This window comes from Homo sapiens, chromosome 16, assembly GCF_000001405.40.
Source record: "Homo sapiens chromosome 16, GRCh38.p14 Primary Assembly".
NCBI classification, from domain to species: Eukaryota; Metazoa; Chordata; class Mammalia; order Primates; family Hominidae; genus Homo; species Homo sapiens.
In genome coordinates, this window is record NC_000016.10 from 16,275,261 (window position 1) to 16,288,786 (window position 13,526).

The following is a 13,526-nucleotide window of genomic DNA, read 5'->3' on the forward strand; positions in this document are numbered from 1 at the left end:
GCTTCCTGCAGGGTGTGAACAAAGCCGTTGCTAGCATTCTGCTCTCTCCTCTTCAGTGTTGGCCCCCTGCACAGTGACCTGGAGTACACGGTGACCTCACAGAAGGAGGGCTATGTTCTGACTGCAGTGGAAGGAACCATCGGAGACTTCAAGGCCTATGCCCTGGCAGGCGTAAGCTTTGAGGTAACTAACACTGTATTTTCAAAAGGCAGTTATACTGAGGTATAATTAACATATAATAAACTGCACAAAAAGGGTACAGTGTGGTAGTCTTGACCTAGGAATACACCCATGAAAACACCTCCACAATTAAAATAGCACATCTGTGGCCCTCAAGGTTTCCTCCTGCCCCTTGGTAATCCCTCCCTGCCACCCTTCCGCTGAGCTGATGATCTGCTTTTCATCACCATTGGTTAGTTTGCATTTTCGAGTTTTTATAGGTTGGTGCAAAAGTGATTGTGGTTTTTGCCATTGAGAATAATGGCAGAAACCGCAATCACTTTTGCACCAACCTGTATATAAATGGAATCAAACAGGATATACTGTTGTTTTTTTTTTTTTTTTGGTCTGACTTCTTTCACGTAGCATAATTTGGAGAGCTGTTGACTTTAGCATGTTTGTGTACCTTCTGGGAAGTAGTTAAAGCTGTCATCCATAACTGTTCCATTTTGAAGGACACAGAATGTTCTTACTGAGGCGTTTGCTGCCTAGCTCCCTTCCACCGGTCCTTTCTGGGAAGAAGCGTGCTGCGATTGTACAGAGTGGGTCTGGAGATCGTTGAGAATGAATATTTATAAACTATAGGCCAAAGGAAAAGAGTGACAGATTACATCGCATAAAAATTTAAAATTCTATATTGCTGAATACATTTGGAACCAAACTGAAAGATATTCAAACTCGGAAGAAATGTTTGTATCATAAATAATATCCCCATTTTACAAGGAGCTCCTAAAATTGGTAAGAAAAAGACAACCCACTAGAAAAAAAATGAACAAAGATTATGAAAAGGAAATTCATGGAAGTAACGCAGGTGACTAATAAACACAGAAACACAAAGCCTCTGTAGTTACTGAGGAAATGTGCTAAGGAAGTTACAGTCGAAACACTGTTTTGCAGGGATTAGATTTGCTGTAATTAAGACAATCTCTATTTTTTGGTAAGTGTGGGTTTTCCCAAGCATAAATAATTTATGGGACTGTAAGTGGTTACAGCCACTTTGGAATGCAATTAGATAGTATCTTTCTGAATTTAAAGTGCATGTATCCAACAATTCTACTTCTAGGAATGGATTGTTCAGGAAATAAAACTAAGTGCCTAGAGATACATATTTGGGGATATTCCAATTGTCTCTTGTGTACCACAAGAGTAGGTGCTGTGGTTTGTCAAACCCTGCCTTAGAATGCTATGCAGTAGTTAAGAAACAGGCAGATTTCTATTGGCTGGCAGAAGAGAACCAGGATAAATTGTTGAGGAAGAGAGCAAGTTGCAGAACTGTACATATAACATGCCATTTTTATTTCACCTCCTCCACCCACTCAATGAACTTGCCAGTCTGTGAACAATAATATGTAATGTTTATAAAATTTGTGTGGGCATAGAAAGAGTTCTGGGCGGGGCACGGTGGCTCATGCCTCTAATCCCAGCACTTTGGGAGGCCCAGGCATGTGGATTGCTTGAGCCCAGTAGTTTGAGATCAGCCTGGGCAACGTGGCAAGACCCGTCTCTATAAAAAATACAGAAATGTAGTTGGGCATGGTGGTGTGCGCCTATAGTCCCATCTCCTCAGGAGGTTAAAGCTGAAGGATTGCTTGAGCTTGGGAGGCGAAGGTTGTAGTGAGCCCAGGTTGTGCCACTGCACTCCAGCCTGGGTGACAGAGCAAGACCCTGTCTCAAAAAAAAAAAAAAAAAAAGTTCTAGAAGGCTACACACCAAACTTACAAAACTTACAACAGTAGTTACCTGTGGGGAGGAAGATTAGGTCCCCTGTCCTCCTTTGAGTAACAATAAAAGAAAAAAACCTTGAAAAAATGACCTCTTGACTTGTGGAACTGTTATTTTCATAGTTAGTAGGAGTTTAACCTTGCTCTGGTCTCACCTTCTCATCCCCAGATAAAAGCTGAGGATGACCAGCCCCTCCCGGGAGTCCTCTTATCCCTGAGTGGTGGCCTGTTTCGTTCCAACCTCTTGACCCAGGACAACGGCATTCTGACATTCTCAAACCTGGTAACGTGTTCTGCAATTTACCACCTGCCTGTCTTCCCTGAGAGAGAGCCAGGATGCAGCATGCGAGACTTATGTGTTGCTTGACAACGTGAGAAGAGAAGGCCAATGTGGAGTGGTTTCAGTTTCTTGGGGGCCCACGGTCATTAGAGTATTGCTCTTACTCGAACTTAATGCTGCTGATTCATGTTCCCTTCCACACGCGCTTCTTGTTTTCTGATCACCCGCTTGTCACTAAGACAGTGTAATTAATTTCCCTGGCCACAACGGCTGCTCTCTTAGGCGTCTTCTCGTTTTGCCACAGAATCATGTTTATGATGCTGAGTCTTGTTTGGTGGTTAGCTTGCGTTTCTTCTGAAAAGACATTCCACTTGGTGGGAAGAGAGCAGCAGTTTTTCTTTCAAGATGCAGTCGGAGGCCCTGACTGGTGGGGATTCAGGAAGTGTGTGTTAGTTGGTCATCTTGTCAGTCATGGTGACAAAGTGGCTGTGGTGGGGCTACTGGAGACCGGGCAGTGGGGGCATCTGAAGACACCACTTTGCAGTGATGCAGACTGCTCCTTACTTGCTGTGTCCTATCAGGCAAGTTACTTTGCCTCTCTGAGCCTCAGTTTCTTTATTCATTAAATTCAAATATGAGCCAGGTATGGTGGCCCACGCCTGTAATCCCACCGCTTTGGGAGGGTGAGGCAGTAGGATCGCTTGAGCTTGGGAGTTTGAGACCAGCAACATAGGAAGACCCCATCTCTACAAAAAATAAAAAAATTAGCTGGGCATGGTGGTGCATGCCTGTGGTCCCAGGTACTCAGGAGGCCGAGGTGGGAGATTTGCTTGAGCCCAGAAGGTTGAGACTACGGTGTGCTGTGATCGTGCACTCCATCCTGGGGGACAGAGTCAGGCCCTGTCTCAGAAAAAAAAAAAAAAAAGAAAAGAAAAATTAAATATGACTTCTACCTCTCTGAGTCATTGCAGGCAGGTGATACCATCAGCTGCCGTTGTTAGAGTTGTGATTGCCACTACCTGACTGTGAGTGGTGATTATAGAGAGAGGGTTACTATTTTTGGCTGCCAGGGAAGCCATGGCGCTCCCCTGGTGTAATTCTGGTCCATCGTGACATTCGCCCCTCACTTTTAAGCCATGCCTAGATGTGGCTGCTGAGGCTCAGTGTGATTATCTTGGCAGAGCCCTGGCCAGTATTACTTCAAACCCATGATGAAGGAGTTCCGGTTTGAGCCATCCTCACAGATGATCGAGGTGCAGGAAGGCCAGAACCTGAAGATCACCATCACGGGGTACCGAACCGCTTACAGGTAAGTGCCCTGGCCACCCCACTCTCTTCCAGGGCTGGGCTGGTGAATCACATTCAGGCCTCTGTTGCCTGGAAACGCATCCCAGGCTTCACACTGATTTTACTTGGGAGGGAAGGGAGATGAGATATGAGGGCAAAGGAGTTTTGACTGCTGCCCTTCTCTCCTAGGAGCTCAACCTGGTGGTTCAGTCTCAAATTTCCTATTTTGGAATTGGCTTGAGAGAGCCTATTGAGTTGCTAAAAGCTTTTATTTATTTTTTATTTTTTGAGACGGAGTTTCATTCTTCTTGCCCAGGCTGGAGTACAATGGCGCAGCCTTGGCTCACTGCAACCTCTGCCTCCCGGGTTCCAGCAATTCTCTTGTCCTGGCCTCCCAAGTAGCTGGGACTGCCACCATGCATGGCTAATTTTTCTATTTTTAGTAGAGACAAGATTTCACTTTGTTGGCCAGGTTGGTCTCGGACTCCTGATCTCAGATGATCTGCCTGCCTCGGTCTCCCAAAGTGTTGGGATTACAGGCGTGAGCCACTGCGCCTGGCCACTTTTATTTTTTAAAAGAGTTTCAAACCTGAATTACATCATTAAAAGGAGAAAATGTGCTCAGTTGAATAAAACTTCAAAATGCTGAAAAGAGTATAGTGTAAAATTTCCCCTCTGTCTCGTCTCCTAGCCACCCAAGTTCCTCTTCTGGGAGACAACCAGTACTTCCAGTTTTTCTGAATGCTCCCAGCTGTAGATAGATAGATACACATGAGTGTCTGGCAAGGCACAGTGGCTCACACCTATAATCCCAGCACTTTTGGAGGCTGAAGTGGGAAGTTCTCTTGAGTCTGGAAGTTCAAGACCAGCCTAGGCAACATAGCAAGACCCCGTCTCTACAAAAAAATAAAAATACAAAATAAAAAAGATACACATCTATAGATAGAGAGATGCATACATATATACATGTATACACACAGATACACACATATGTGTATTTTTTGTAGACTTATACAGAATCACTTTAGAGGAAGAGTAATTGGAAAGATTGGGTTTAGAAAAATGGACCATTTTCTACTGAATATATGGAATGAAAGAGGAAGTGAGTTATTTCCATGTTATTGAAAGCTCCATTATTTCAAATAAAGCCTAGAAAGAATAAAATAAAGCTTTAGCCTTCTTAAATTACAATTTTCCAGAGCATCCCTCAAAATGTATGAGAAAAGAAATTGATGGCAGCTTATCCCTCCGGCAGGAAGGTGTGGTTTGAAAGTGGGCCGGCCACACCGAGTTGCCTGGGTCATTGAGGCACAGTTCTCCCCTGAACTATTTTGCCCCATAATTGTTGGTAAACGGGAAACACTTGGGTCCTTCAGATAACCATGAGAATATCTCATTCGTGCCTGTTCTTGCCATACTAGTTGCTATGGCACAGTGTCTTCCTTAAACGGAGAGCCCGAACAAGGGGTTGCCATGGAAGCGGTGGGCCAGAACGACTGCAGCATTTACGGAGAAGACACCGTGACAGACGAAGAGGGCAAGTTCAGATTACGTGGATTGCTGGTGAGACTTGGAATGTGTTTTCTTTGGGGACTTTTTTTTCATCCTGTGTCCAGAAGTATCTTGTGGTGGCCCCAAGACTGCTAGGAGTGGGTTGGGCGAGAGGGCTGGGGGTGGGGCTCTGGAGCCCTCCCAGTTCTTACCTTTAATTGGTAGAGTTTGCCTTTTTTCTAGCCAACAGGTCAGATCAAGGATCTGTGGCACAATGGAGTTGGAAAACCATGGGTTTGGTAGGGCTTTTCCCTAGCAGTATGTGGCCATGGCTTACGCCAGGGCTCAAGCCAAACGCCTATGGAGCCAGAAGAGCAGTATGAACGGGGGAGAGGAGGCTGTGCGAAATGATAGGGAGTGGTGAGGGCTGTGGAGTGGGCACGGCCTGTGGAAAGGGACAGCCTGTCACTTGGTTCCAGCTTATTGTAGCCATGGGGGAAGACAGAGTCAGGGTTGCCAGATCCTTGAAATTTTAAAAAGAGAAGTCAGAAATTCCCACTTCCCAGAAATAATACCCAACACAAGCATTTGGGAATGCTTATGGTGGACATTCCAGATATCCATCAATGTGTATATACGGGTAGAGGGGAGGGGTGGATGGAGAGGAAAAACATCTTAGAAGAGTAAGAGCACATAGTATGCTTGGAATTTTGAAATAAGAAACCAAATTTGATTTATTTTGGGGTAGGAGAAAATGAAACTGAGTTGGGATGGAAGGAGTCGCAAAATTTCAGATGTTTCAACACTAGGGGTGTTCTTAAAGGAACTCTGGACTCTTAAGGTTAACAGGCCACAGATTAGGAAATGAGGGGAGAGAAATGCTCCTGTCTTAATGATCTCGTGCAGCCAAACCAGGCTTGGACCAGGCACGATACGACAAGCCCCCTTTCTAGAGAACTGACTCCTGAGTTTTTTTGCAGCCGGGATGTGTGTACCACGTTCAGCTCAAGGCAGAAGGCAACGACCACATTGAGCGGGCGCTCCCCCACCATAGGGTGATTGAGGTAAGGCATTCAGTGCTGCCGCTGCACCTGGGTGTGGGTGCCTCCCTAATCAGAAGTCCTCCCGTCTCCTCTGGCTGTCTGCCTTTCATCTGTGGCGGGGGGAACTTTCATCCTAATTAAGGGTCCTCTTAGAATAGTGTCATCTTCACAAGCAGAATCTTATGTGGGTTTTTAGTGAACAGCGTTGCTGTCATGCATCCAGAAAGGAAATTGGAACTGTTGTATCCTCCCCGCGACTTGCCCTGTAAGCTCTGATCATTATTCTGCAAGTTAAGGAACTTAAGGCCTAAGCAGCATTTCAAATCAAGGGACAATAATAGCACATGGGCTTAATGGGTGGCAGGGCCACGCAGTTATCTTAGGTTCAGATGACCTTTTTCCTGCTCCCATTTTGTGGGCAGAGTCTTTTGATACTCAAGATCATGACCTAGCTAAATTAATCCCTAAAGAGGACATCCTTCGAGTCACAGAATGTGGCCTGGGAATCATTTGAAGTAAGGCTTTTCTCTTACTGAGTAACTCTCATTGGGAAGACTAGAGGGCTTAGGTAGGGCAAGAGGGGCTGCCTCTTAGTGGCTTTATTTAGGTGGCTTCATTATGCATGAAGATTGTGAGGGAGGATAGAACTTTTGACCTAGGAAGTGGATTTTCTTTTTTTTTTCTTTTTTTTTTTTTTGAGATGGAGTCTCACCCTGTCACGCAGGATGGAGTGCAGTGCCGTGATCTCGGCTCACTGCAACCTCCTCCTTGTGGGTTCAAGTGATTTTCCCACCTCAGCCTGTAGCTGGGACTACAGGCATACACCATCACACCCGACTAATTTTTGTATTTTTAGTAGAGACGGGGTTTCACCATGTTGGCCAGATTGGTCTTGAACTCCTGACCTCAGGTGATCTGCTCGCTTCGGCCTCCCAAAGTGCTGGGATTACAGGCATGAGCCACCGCACCGGGCCGGAAGTGGATTTCCTTGACGTCTTTACGGTGTTGGCATTTTAAATGGCTGGGATGACTGCATCTCACACCAAAATGCTTTGCATGTTCTCGGTGTAGTAACTTAGGCCAGGATCACTAGCATAATGTGGACTGTGGCCGGGCAGGTATGAAAGGGAAGGGGGCCGGCCCTCTGGGATCTCGCAAACTCCATGTACAGACCTCACGCAGAGGGGGTGCTGTGACTCTGCCCCTGCTCTAACAGGCAAGAGCATCCTTCTCCTCTTTTTTTTTAAGAGAAGCTGGAAAATCTGGCTTCATATATGAAATTTCTTAATTTTTAACATGTTGGCAAGTAATTCAAACGTAGAAAAAAAATACTGTGCTTTCGAAATGAAATGTGTCTATGGGCCAGGGATATGCCCCTGCTCTAACAGGCAAGAGCATCCTTCTCCTTTTTTTTTAAGAGAAGCTGGAAAATCTGGCTTCATATATGAAATTTCCTAATTTTTAACATGTTGGCAAGTAATTCAAACGTAGAAAAAAAATACTGTGCTTTCGAAATGAAATGTGTCTATGGGCCAGGGATAGCCATCTTCTGTCGGTTTGTGACCTTGGACGTAGGGTACTCAATGACAAACTTAGCTTCCTTAATGTAAGAAGCAAAGTTTGCCATGAAGCAGCTCTCAGGCCATCGGACAGCTGGCATAGAAGTTCCTCCACCAGCTTTCTCATTACTGGCATTCCCTCTTTCTCTCTCTAGGTTGGGAATAATGACATCGATGATGTAAACATCATAGTTTTCCGGCAGATTAATCAATTTGATTTAAGTGGAAATGTGATCACTTCCTCTGAATACCTTCCTACGTTATGGGTAAGTCCAGACTTTTAAGCTCCAAGTATTGTGTTCCCTTTGGCTTTGAGACAAGTACGAATGGGATGTTTTTGGTTTTGTGCCTGTCTCGTGCCTTAGGTGTGACAGGTGGAGGTGCTCCAGAGTGCCGCCTGCTGAGGGTTGAGGTTGAGATTTAAGAACCTTGGACCACAACACGTATTTGGGAGAGTGATTGCCAGTTGTGGGAGAGAATGTGGTCCAGTTTCAGATAACTGTCTGCCATCAGTTAATCTTCCAAAGAATTATAGTAGAAGCCTGATCAATGATCAATACAATATGGAATCTAACGTGGAAAGCCAATTCTAAAGAAAGCGCCTTGTAACTTAAAATTTTCTCTGGAGTGGAGGTCGTATTAAACGTTCTTGCATTGGTTTAAAGAAATGCCTGAGGCTAGATAATTTATAACAAAAGAGGTTTCATTGGCTCCTCGTTCTGTAGGTTGTACAGGAAGCATAGTGGCGTCTGCTTCTGGGGAGGCCTCAGGAGGCTTCCAATCATGGCAGAAGGTGAAGTGGGAGCAGGCATGTCATGTGGGAGAAGCTGGAGCAAAAGAGAGAGTTGGGGCATGGTGCCACACACTTTTAAATGATCAGATCTCACAAGACTCATAACGAAGACAGCACCAAGCCACGAGGGATCCACCCCAAAGATCCGATCATCTCACAGCAGGCCCTACCTCCGGCACGGGGGATTACAATTCAACATGAGATTTGGGCAGGGACAAATATCCAAACAGTATCAGAGGTGGTGGACGGTGGGCTGGAGAGCAGGTGGTCTGGGCTTTCTCTTGTCTCCAGTAGTGACTCACCTTGCTGCCTGGGCCAGTCACTTCATTTCCACATGCCTCGACTTCGTCCTCTGCAAAACCTAGATTTTGGACTCAGAGACCTCTTATAATCTTGTTCAGCTCTAACAAAATCTCCATGTTACCATTAATGAAGAAATGTTTATAAAATACCCTGCAGACCCTCTGCGGATGTTAGTGATTTGCTCTGGGGGTACATTGTTAAGATGCGCTTGTAATTTTATAAGCAGTTAAGTATTTGGCATGGGTGAGAAAGTGTGTGTGCGCTTTAGTCCACTCTGTCCAGGGCTTGCAGGCGTGTGCTTGTAGGGACCAGGCAGGTAATGTCAGAGAGTGCAGAGGGTTGGGTAGGGTGGGGGGCAAACTGGGGAACTCCTGCCCCATCCATGAGGGGCACAAGGGAGGGGAAGAGGCAGAGAGGAGGGGAGGGCGCCACTCTCTTGCTCCTGAGTGTTGCTGTGCTAGAATTGAGGCTCAGGGTTGGTGTCACTTCCCAGTTTTCCGGAGAAGCTGGAAATTAGAATTATTTGAAATCACCTGATTTTTAAATATAGTCGGTGAATTCAGATTTACTTAAGATGTTATAGAAGAAAAAAGAACACATAAGGGATCTTCAATGCGACCCATAACCTTCAGTCTGTGACTTTCATTTTAGGAAAATTCCCCTGGTGTGTTATGTAGAAAGGTGCCAGTGTGGGCCCAGGGAGGTGGTCCTGGCATTCTCTTGCGGCAGGTGCACTGTGGCATCCTCACAGCCTTTGCCATCAGCCAGGGCTGCACCTTAACCCTGCTCATGCCCCATCCCGTGTGGGAGTGAGAACAGGCAACAACCCCAGAAATAAAGCCAGAAACAAAGTACTCCAGTGCCTCCTGAAGCAGCGTGGAGAGCCACGTACATGATGGAATGCGTTTTGAGTTTAACAGATTGGTGGAGTTAAGGTGACATCATATGATGAGGCAGTGCAAGGCGGGAAGGACCCTCAGGAGTCGTCAGGGGGTTGAGTCCCAGGCTCTACCATGTGTAAGTTGTGTGACCTTAGGTGACTTTGGCTCTCTGGGTCTCCATAGGGATAATAACAATACCTGTTTTGTAGTCAGGATTGGCGATAATGTAGATAAAATATCTGGCGCCTGCCTGGCATATTACAGATGTTCAACACGTGTTAGAAGCTATTTTTAATATTACTATTATATTAACTTATATTACTATTTTGAGCAAGAACATGGGTAGTCAGAATCTGATTTGAATCTTAATTTCTGTGCATGATACATAACTGGATGGAGTCTCAGATGACAGAGGGATGTGTGATGTCTATGGAGGGAGCTTTCTTTTTCAAATATCCATGTTTCCAAAGACACCTACCCAGAGAGCGGCTGTCCTGAGGATGTCTGCTATGAAATATTGATTGTGTTTCAGTTTCAAAGCATGTCTGACTTTGTTTCTCCCTCCAGGTCAAGCTTTACAAAAGCGAAAACCTCGACAATCCAATCCAGACAGTTTCCCTTGGCCAGTCCCTGTTCTTCCATTTCCCCCCACTGCTCAGAGATGGCGAGGTAATGCCTGTGGCCGGATTCTACCTTCTGCCTTTGTTTTAATAATTCTGCTGTTTAGTTTAAGGAAGCACAGTTCTCTCCTTTTCTCCCTAAATACCACTCTGCAGAAATGCGCTCTCTGAATCAAAAGAGGTTGGGTTCTGTAGGGATTATTTTTTCTTCATTGTTTTTCTGTTTACAAAAAGAATACATATTCATGGCAGGAGATTTTGGGAAAAAGAAGACATAAGCCCATCATCCAGAAATAGCCACTGCTAACATGGTGATTGGTATCCTTTGGGTCTTTTTTCAGGCACGTGTGCGCATGCATGTATAAATATAAATAGACATTTATTTTAATAATTCAAAACTGACACTGTTTTGTACATTGTTTTGTAATCCATGCTCTTCAATGAAGAATTTATCACAAATCTGTTCCTCATCATCAAATCTTTCTTTTTTTTTTTTTTTTGAGACGGAGTCTCGCCTTGTCGCCCAGGCTGGAGTGCAGTGGCGCAATCTGGGCTCACTGCAAGCTCCGCCTCCTGGGTTCACACCATTCTCCTGCCTCAGCCTCCGAAGTAGCTGGGACTACAGGCGTGCGCCACCACACCCGGCTAATTTTTTTTTTTGTGTATTTTTAGTAGAGACGGGGTTTCACCATGTTAGCCAGGATGGTCTTGATCTCCTGACCTCGTGATCCACCTGCCTCGGCCTCCCAAAGTGCTGAGATTACAGGCGTGAGCCCCCGTGCCTGGCCAAATCTTTCATACTATGATTTTTATGGACAGTAGTCCATAAACTAGGAAACGCGATGATTTATTTAACCAAGGCCTACTGTTGGGCATGATCGACTCTTGCACTTTGAACATATCACCCCATGCTTTCCTGCTAAGAAGTCCACTTTTAAAAATGCCTTGTAATTTTTAAAAATTCCTCTATTTTAACATTCTGCTATTGAGTTTAGGGAAATACAGTTTCCTCATGATGGGGGATCCCTTGAATGAGATGAGTTGCTTTTCTCTTGCTGCTTTGAACGTTCTCTCTGTCTTTGATAATCTGATTATAACGTGTGTCGTGTAGAACACTTGCAGCTCCACCTTTTCAGTGTCCTTTGGGTTCCATGAATCTGGATGTCTCCCTCCTTGGAACTGGGAAGTTTTCAGCCATTATTCTGGCCGTCATTTACTGATTATAAAGTGCTTATTATCAATTCTATTTGGACAGAGCTAACTTGTAGTTGGTGTGGGGAGTGCAAACTTTGCAAAGAATTTGGTTCTTTTCTGGTGGTCTTAGCCTGAGGATGTCAAGTGTGAGCCTAGAGGGTGACGTTTCCTCTCCTGGCTCCTTACCACCTGCCGTGAAGATGATCTACTCTGGCCTTTCTCTGTGGAAAATGGCTGCGAAATAATGAAACAGGCTGTCACGGAATTTTCTCCTCCTCTTTCTCCAGGGGTGTTGAAATAGTCACTTCCTACAGCGATGCGGAAACATCTTGGGCTTTGGGGTCACACTTCCCCTGAGTTCAGAGCCTTCATAGATGTGTGGCAGCCTTCTTAGCTGAGTGACCTTGGGCAAGTTACTCTTAGTCTCTTCGTGCTTGACTTTCCTCGTCTATAAGACGGGGTGATGATCCCGACCTTGCCAGTGGTAGAAAGCAAAGCAGCCGCGGGCCTCATGCAATGTGCATGGTGCCTGGCAGCTGGTCGGTGCTCAGCACACAGAGCTGTGACGGGCCTCATGCAATGTGCATGGTGCCTGGCAGCTGGTCGGTGCTCAGCACACAGAGCTGTGGCTGCCCCTGGTGCCGTTCCAGGGATGCTGTATTTTTAGGATTTGCCAGCTTACGAGCCTCTCAAGCATCGTCCCTTAGAAGTCAGCCCCGTTGTGGATCCTCAGTTGTATCACGTACCTCCCTCATCAGAATTGGCTCATAATAATTTTTTGTGTTTCATAAAGTCAGATCCTCAGAGGACCGTAATTGTCAAGGTTGGGTACTCATAAAAAGGCTGCAGGCTCTGACAGCCTTATCAGAAGCCACAGTCTCAGAGACACTGGGGACACATGCCCGCCACTGATGGAATAGCCCGCTGAGGTTGATACTTTGAAGGCAGCAACCTTGGTTTGGATGTGTAGTCTTGGGGATTTCTTTAAAAACATAAAGTTCTTTACATCACAGCCATACGTTAGGTTTTAGTTTTCATTTGCTTTGCCAGAGCTGTCCTTATAAAAATAACTTCTTCCCATGTGTGCACAGAACTATGTTGTGCTTCTGGACTCCACACTCCCCAGATCCCAGTATGACTACATCTTGCCTCAAGTTTCTTTCACCGCAGTGGGCTACCATAAACACATCACCTTGATTTTTAATCCCACGGTAAGTAAAAGAGGGAGTTAAAAAAAAATCCATGGGCTGGGTTTGGTGGCTCACGCCTGTAATCCCAGCACTTTGGGAGGCCAAGGCTGGTGGATCTCTTGAGCCCGGGAGTTTCAGACCAGCCTAGGCAATACGGTAAAACCCCAACTCTACAAAAAATACAAAAATTAACCGGGCGTGGTGGAACGCACCTATAGTCCCGGCTACTCAGGAGGCTGAGGTGGGAGGATCACTTGAGCCTGGGAGGTTGAGGCCTCGATGAGCCATGATCATGCCCCTGCACTCCAGCTTGGGTAACAGAGTGAGACCCTTTCTCCAGAAGAAACAAAACAAAACAAAACAAAACAAAACAAAACAATCCATGGGGTGGCAAAAGAAGGCATGTCCATACAACCTGTGCTCCAGGTCGCAGGTTGCAGGGCAGATATTTAAAGGGCTCCTGGCATTGGGTCACTTTCTCATTCTGCCTTCTGGATTCTGGGCTTCCCCAGATTGTTTTTAGCTTTTCTGAGCACTGATGCCTGCGATTCCCTTTGAGGAGGAAACTGGTAATAAGAGCAGTGTAATTGTTTAGATCGGTGGCTCAGGAATGATTTTGGGGGAGGAGGGACACCACTATCGCTGGTGTGGCGTGTGCTTCTCCATGAGGGAGCACATGGTACATGGCCACGCAAACCCCTAGAACCAACTGCTACTTTACAGGAAATAGGGAGGACCCAGGAGCACGCAAATGACTCCACAGGGATGCAGGACAACCACCTGGAGCCTGATTTGTTTGACAAATAAATTGCAAGGAAAAAAAAACCAACAACAGATGGACAGAATACCTGTGGGTTAAAAGAAACTTAACTTATCGCTTAATTCATTGCAATATGTGGCCCTTACTATTTGCAATATGTGTATCTGTTGCATACGGTCTGTCCT

At 45.6% G+C, this 13,526-nt stretch overlaps 1 protein-coding gene across 2 annotated transcripts in view; it reads left to right on the forward strand.

Moving 5' to 3' along the window:
• Positions 1–13,526, forward strand: part of NOMO3 (NODAL modulator 3) — a 62,284-nt gene that overhangs the window by 42,733 nt on the left and 6,025 nt on the right. For both annotated transcript variants that reach the window (NM_001004067.4, XM_005255318.2), the window contains exons 22-29: positions 57–183; positions 2,110–2,223; positions 3,402–3,529; positions 4,929–5,070; positions 5,979–6,062; positions 7,756–7,866; positions 10,145–10,246; positions 12,483–12,602. In NM_001004067.4, the coding sequence (NP_001004067.1) occupies positions 57–183; positions 2,110–2,223; positions 3,402–3,529; positions 4,929–5,070; positions 5,979–6,062; positions 7,756–7,866; positions 10,145–10,246; positions 12,483–12,602 (928 nt within the window). The remainder of the gene's footprint in view (positions 1–56; positions 184–2,109; positions 2,224–3,401; positions 3,530–4,928; positions 5,071–5,978; positions 6,063–7,755; positions 7,867–10,144; positions 10,247–12,482; positions 12,603–13,526) is intronic.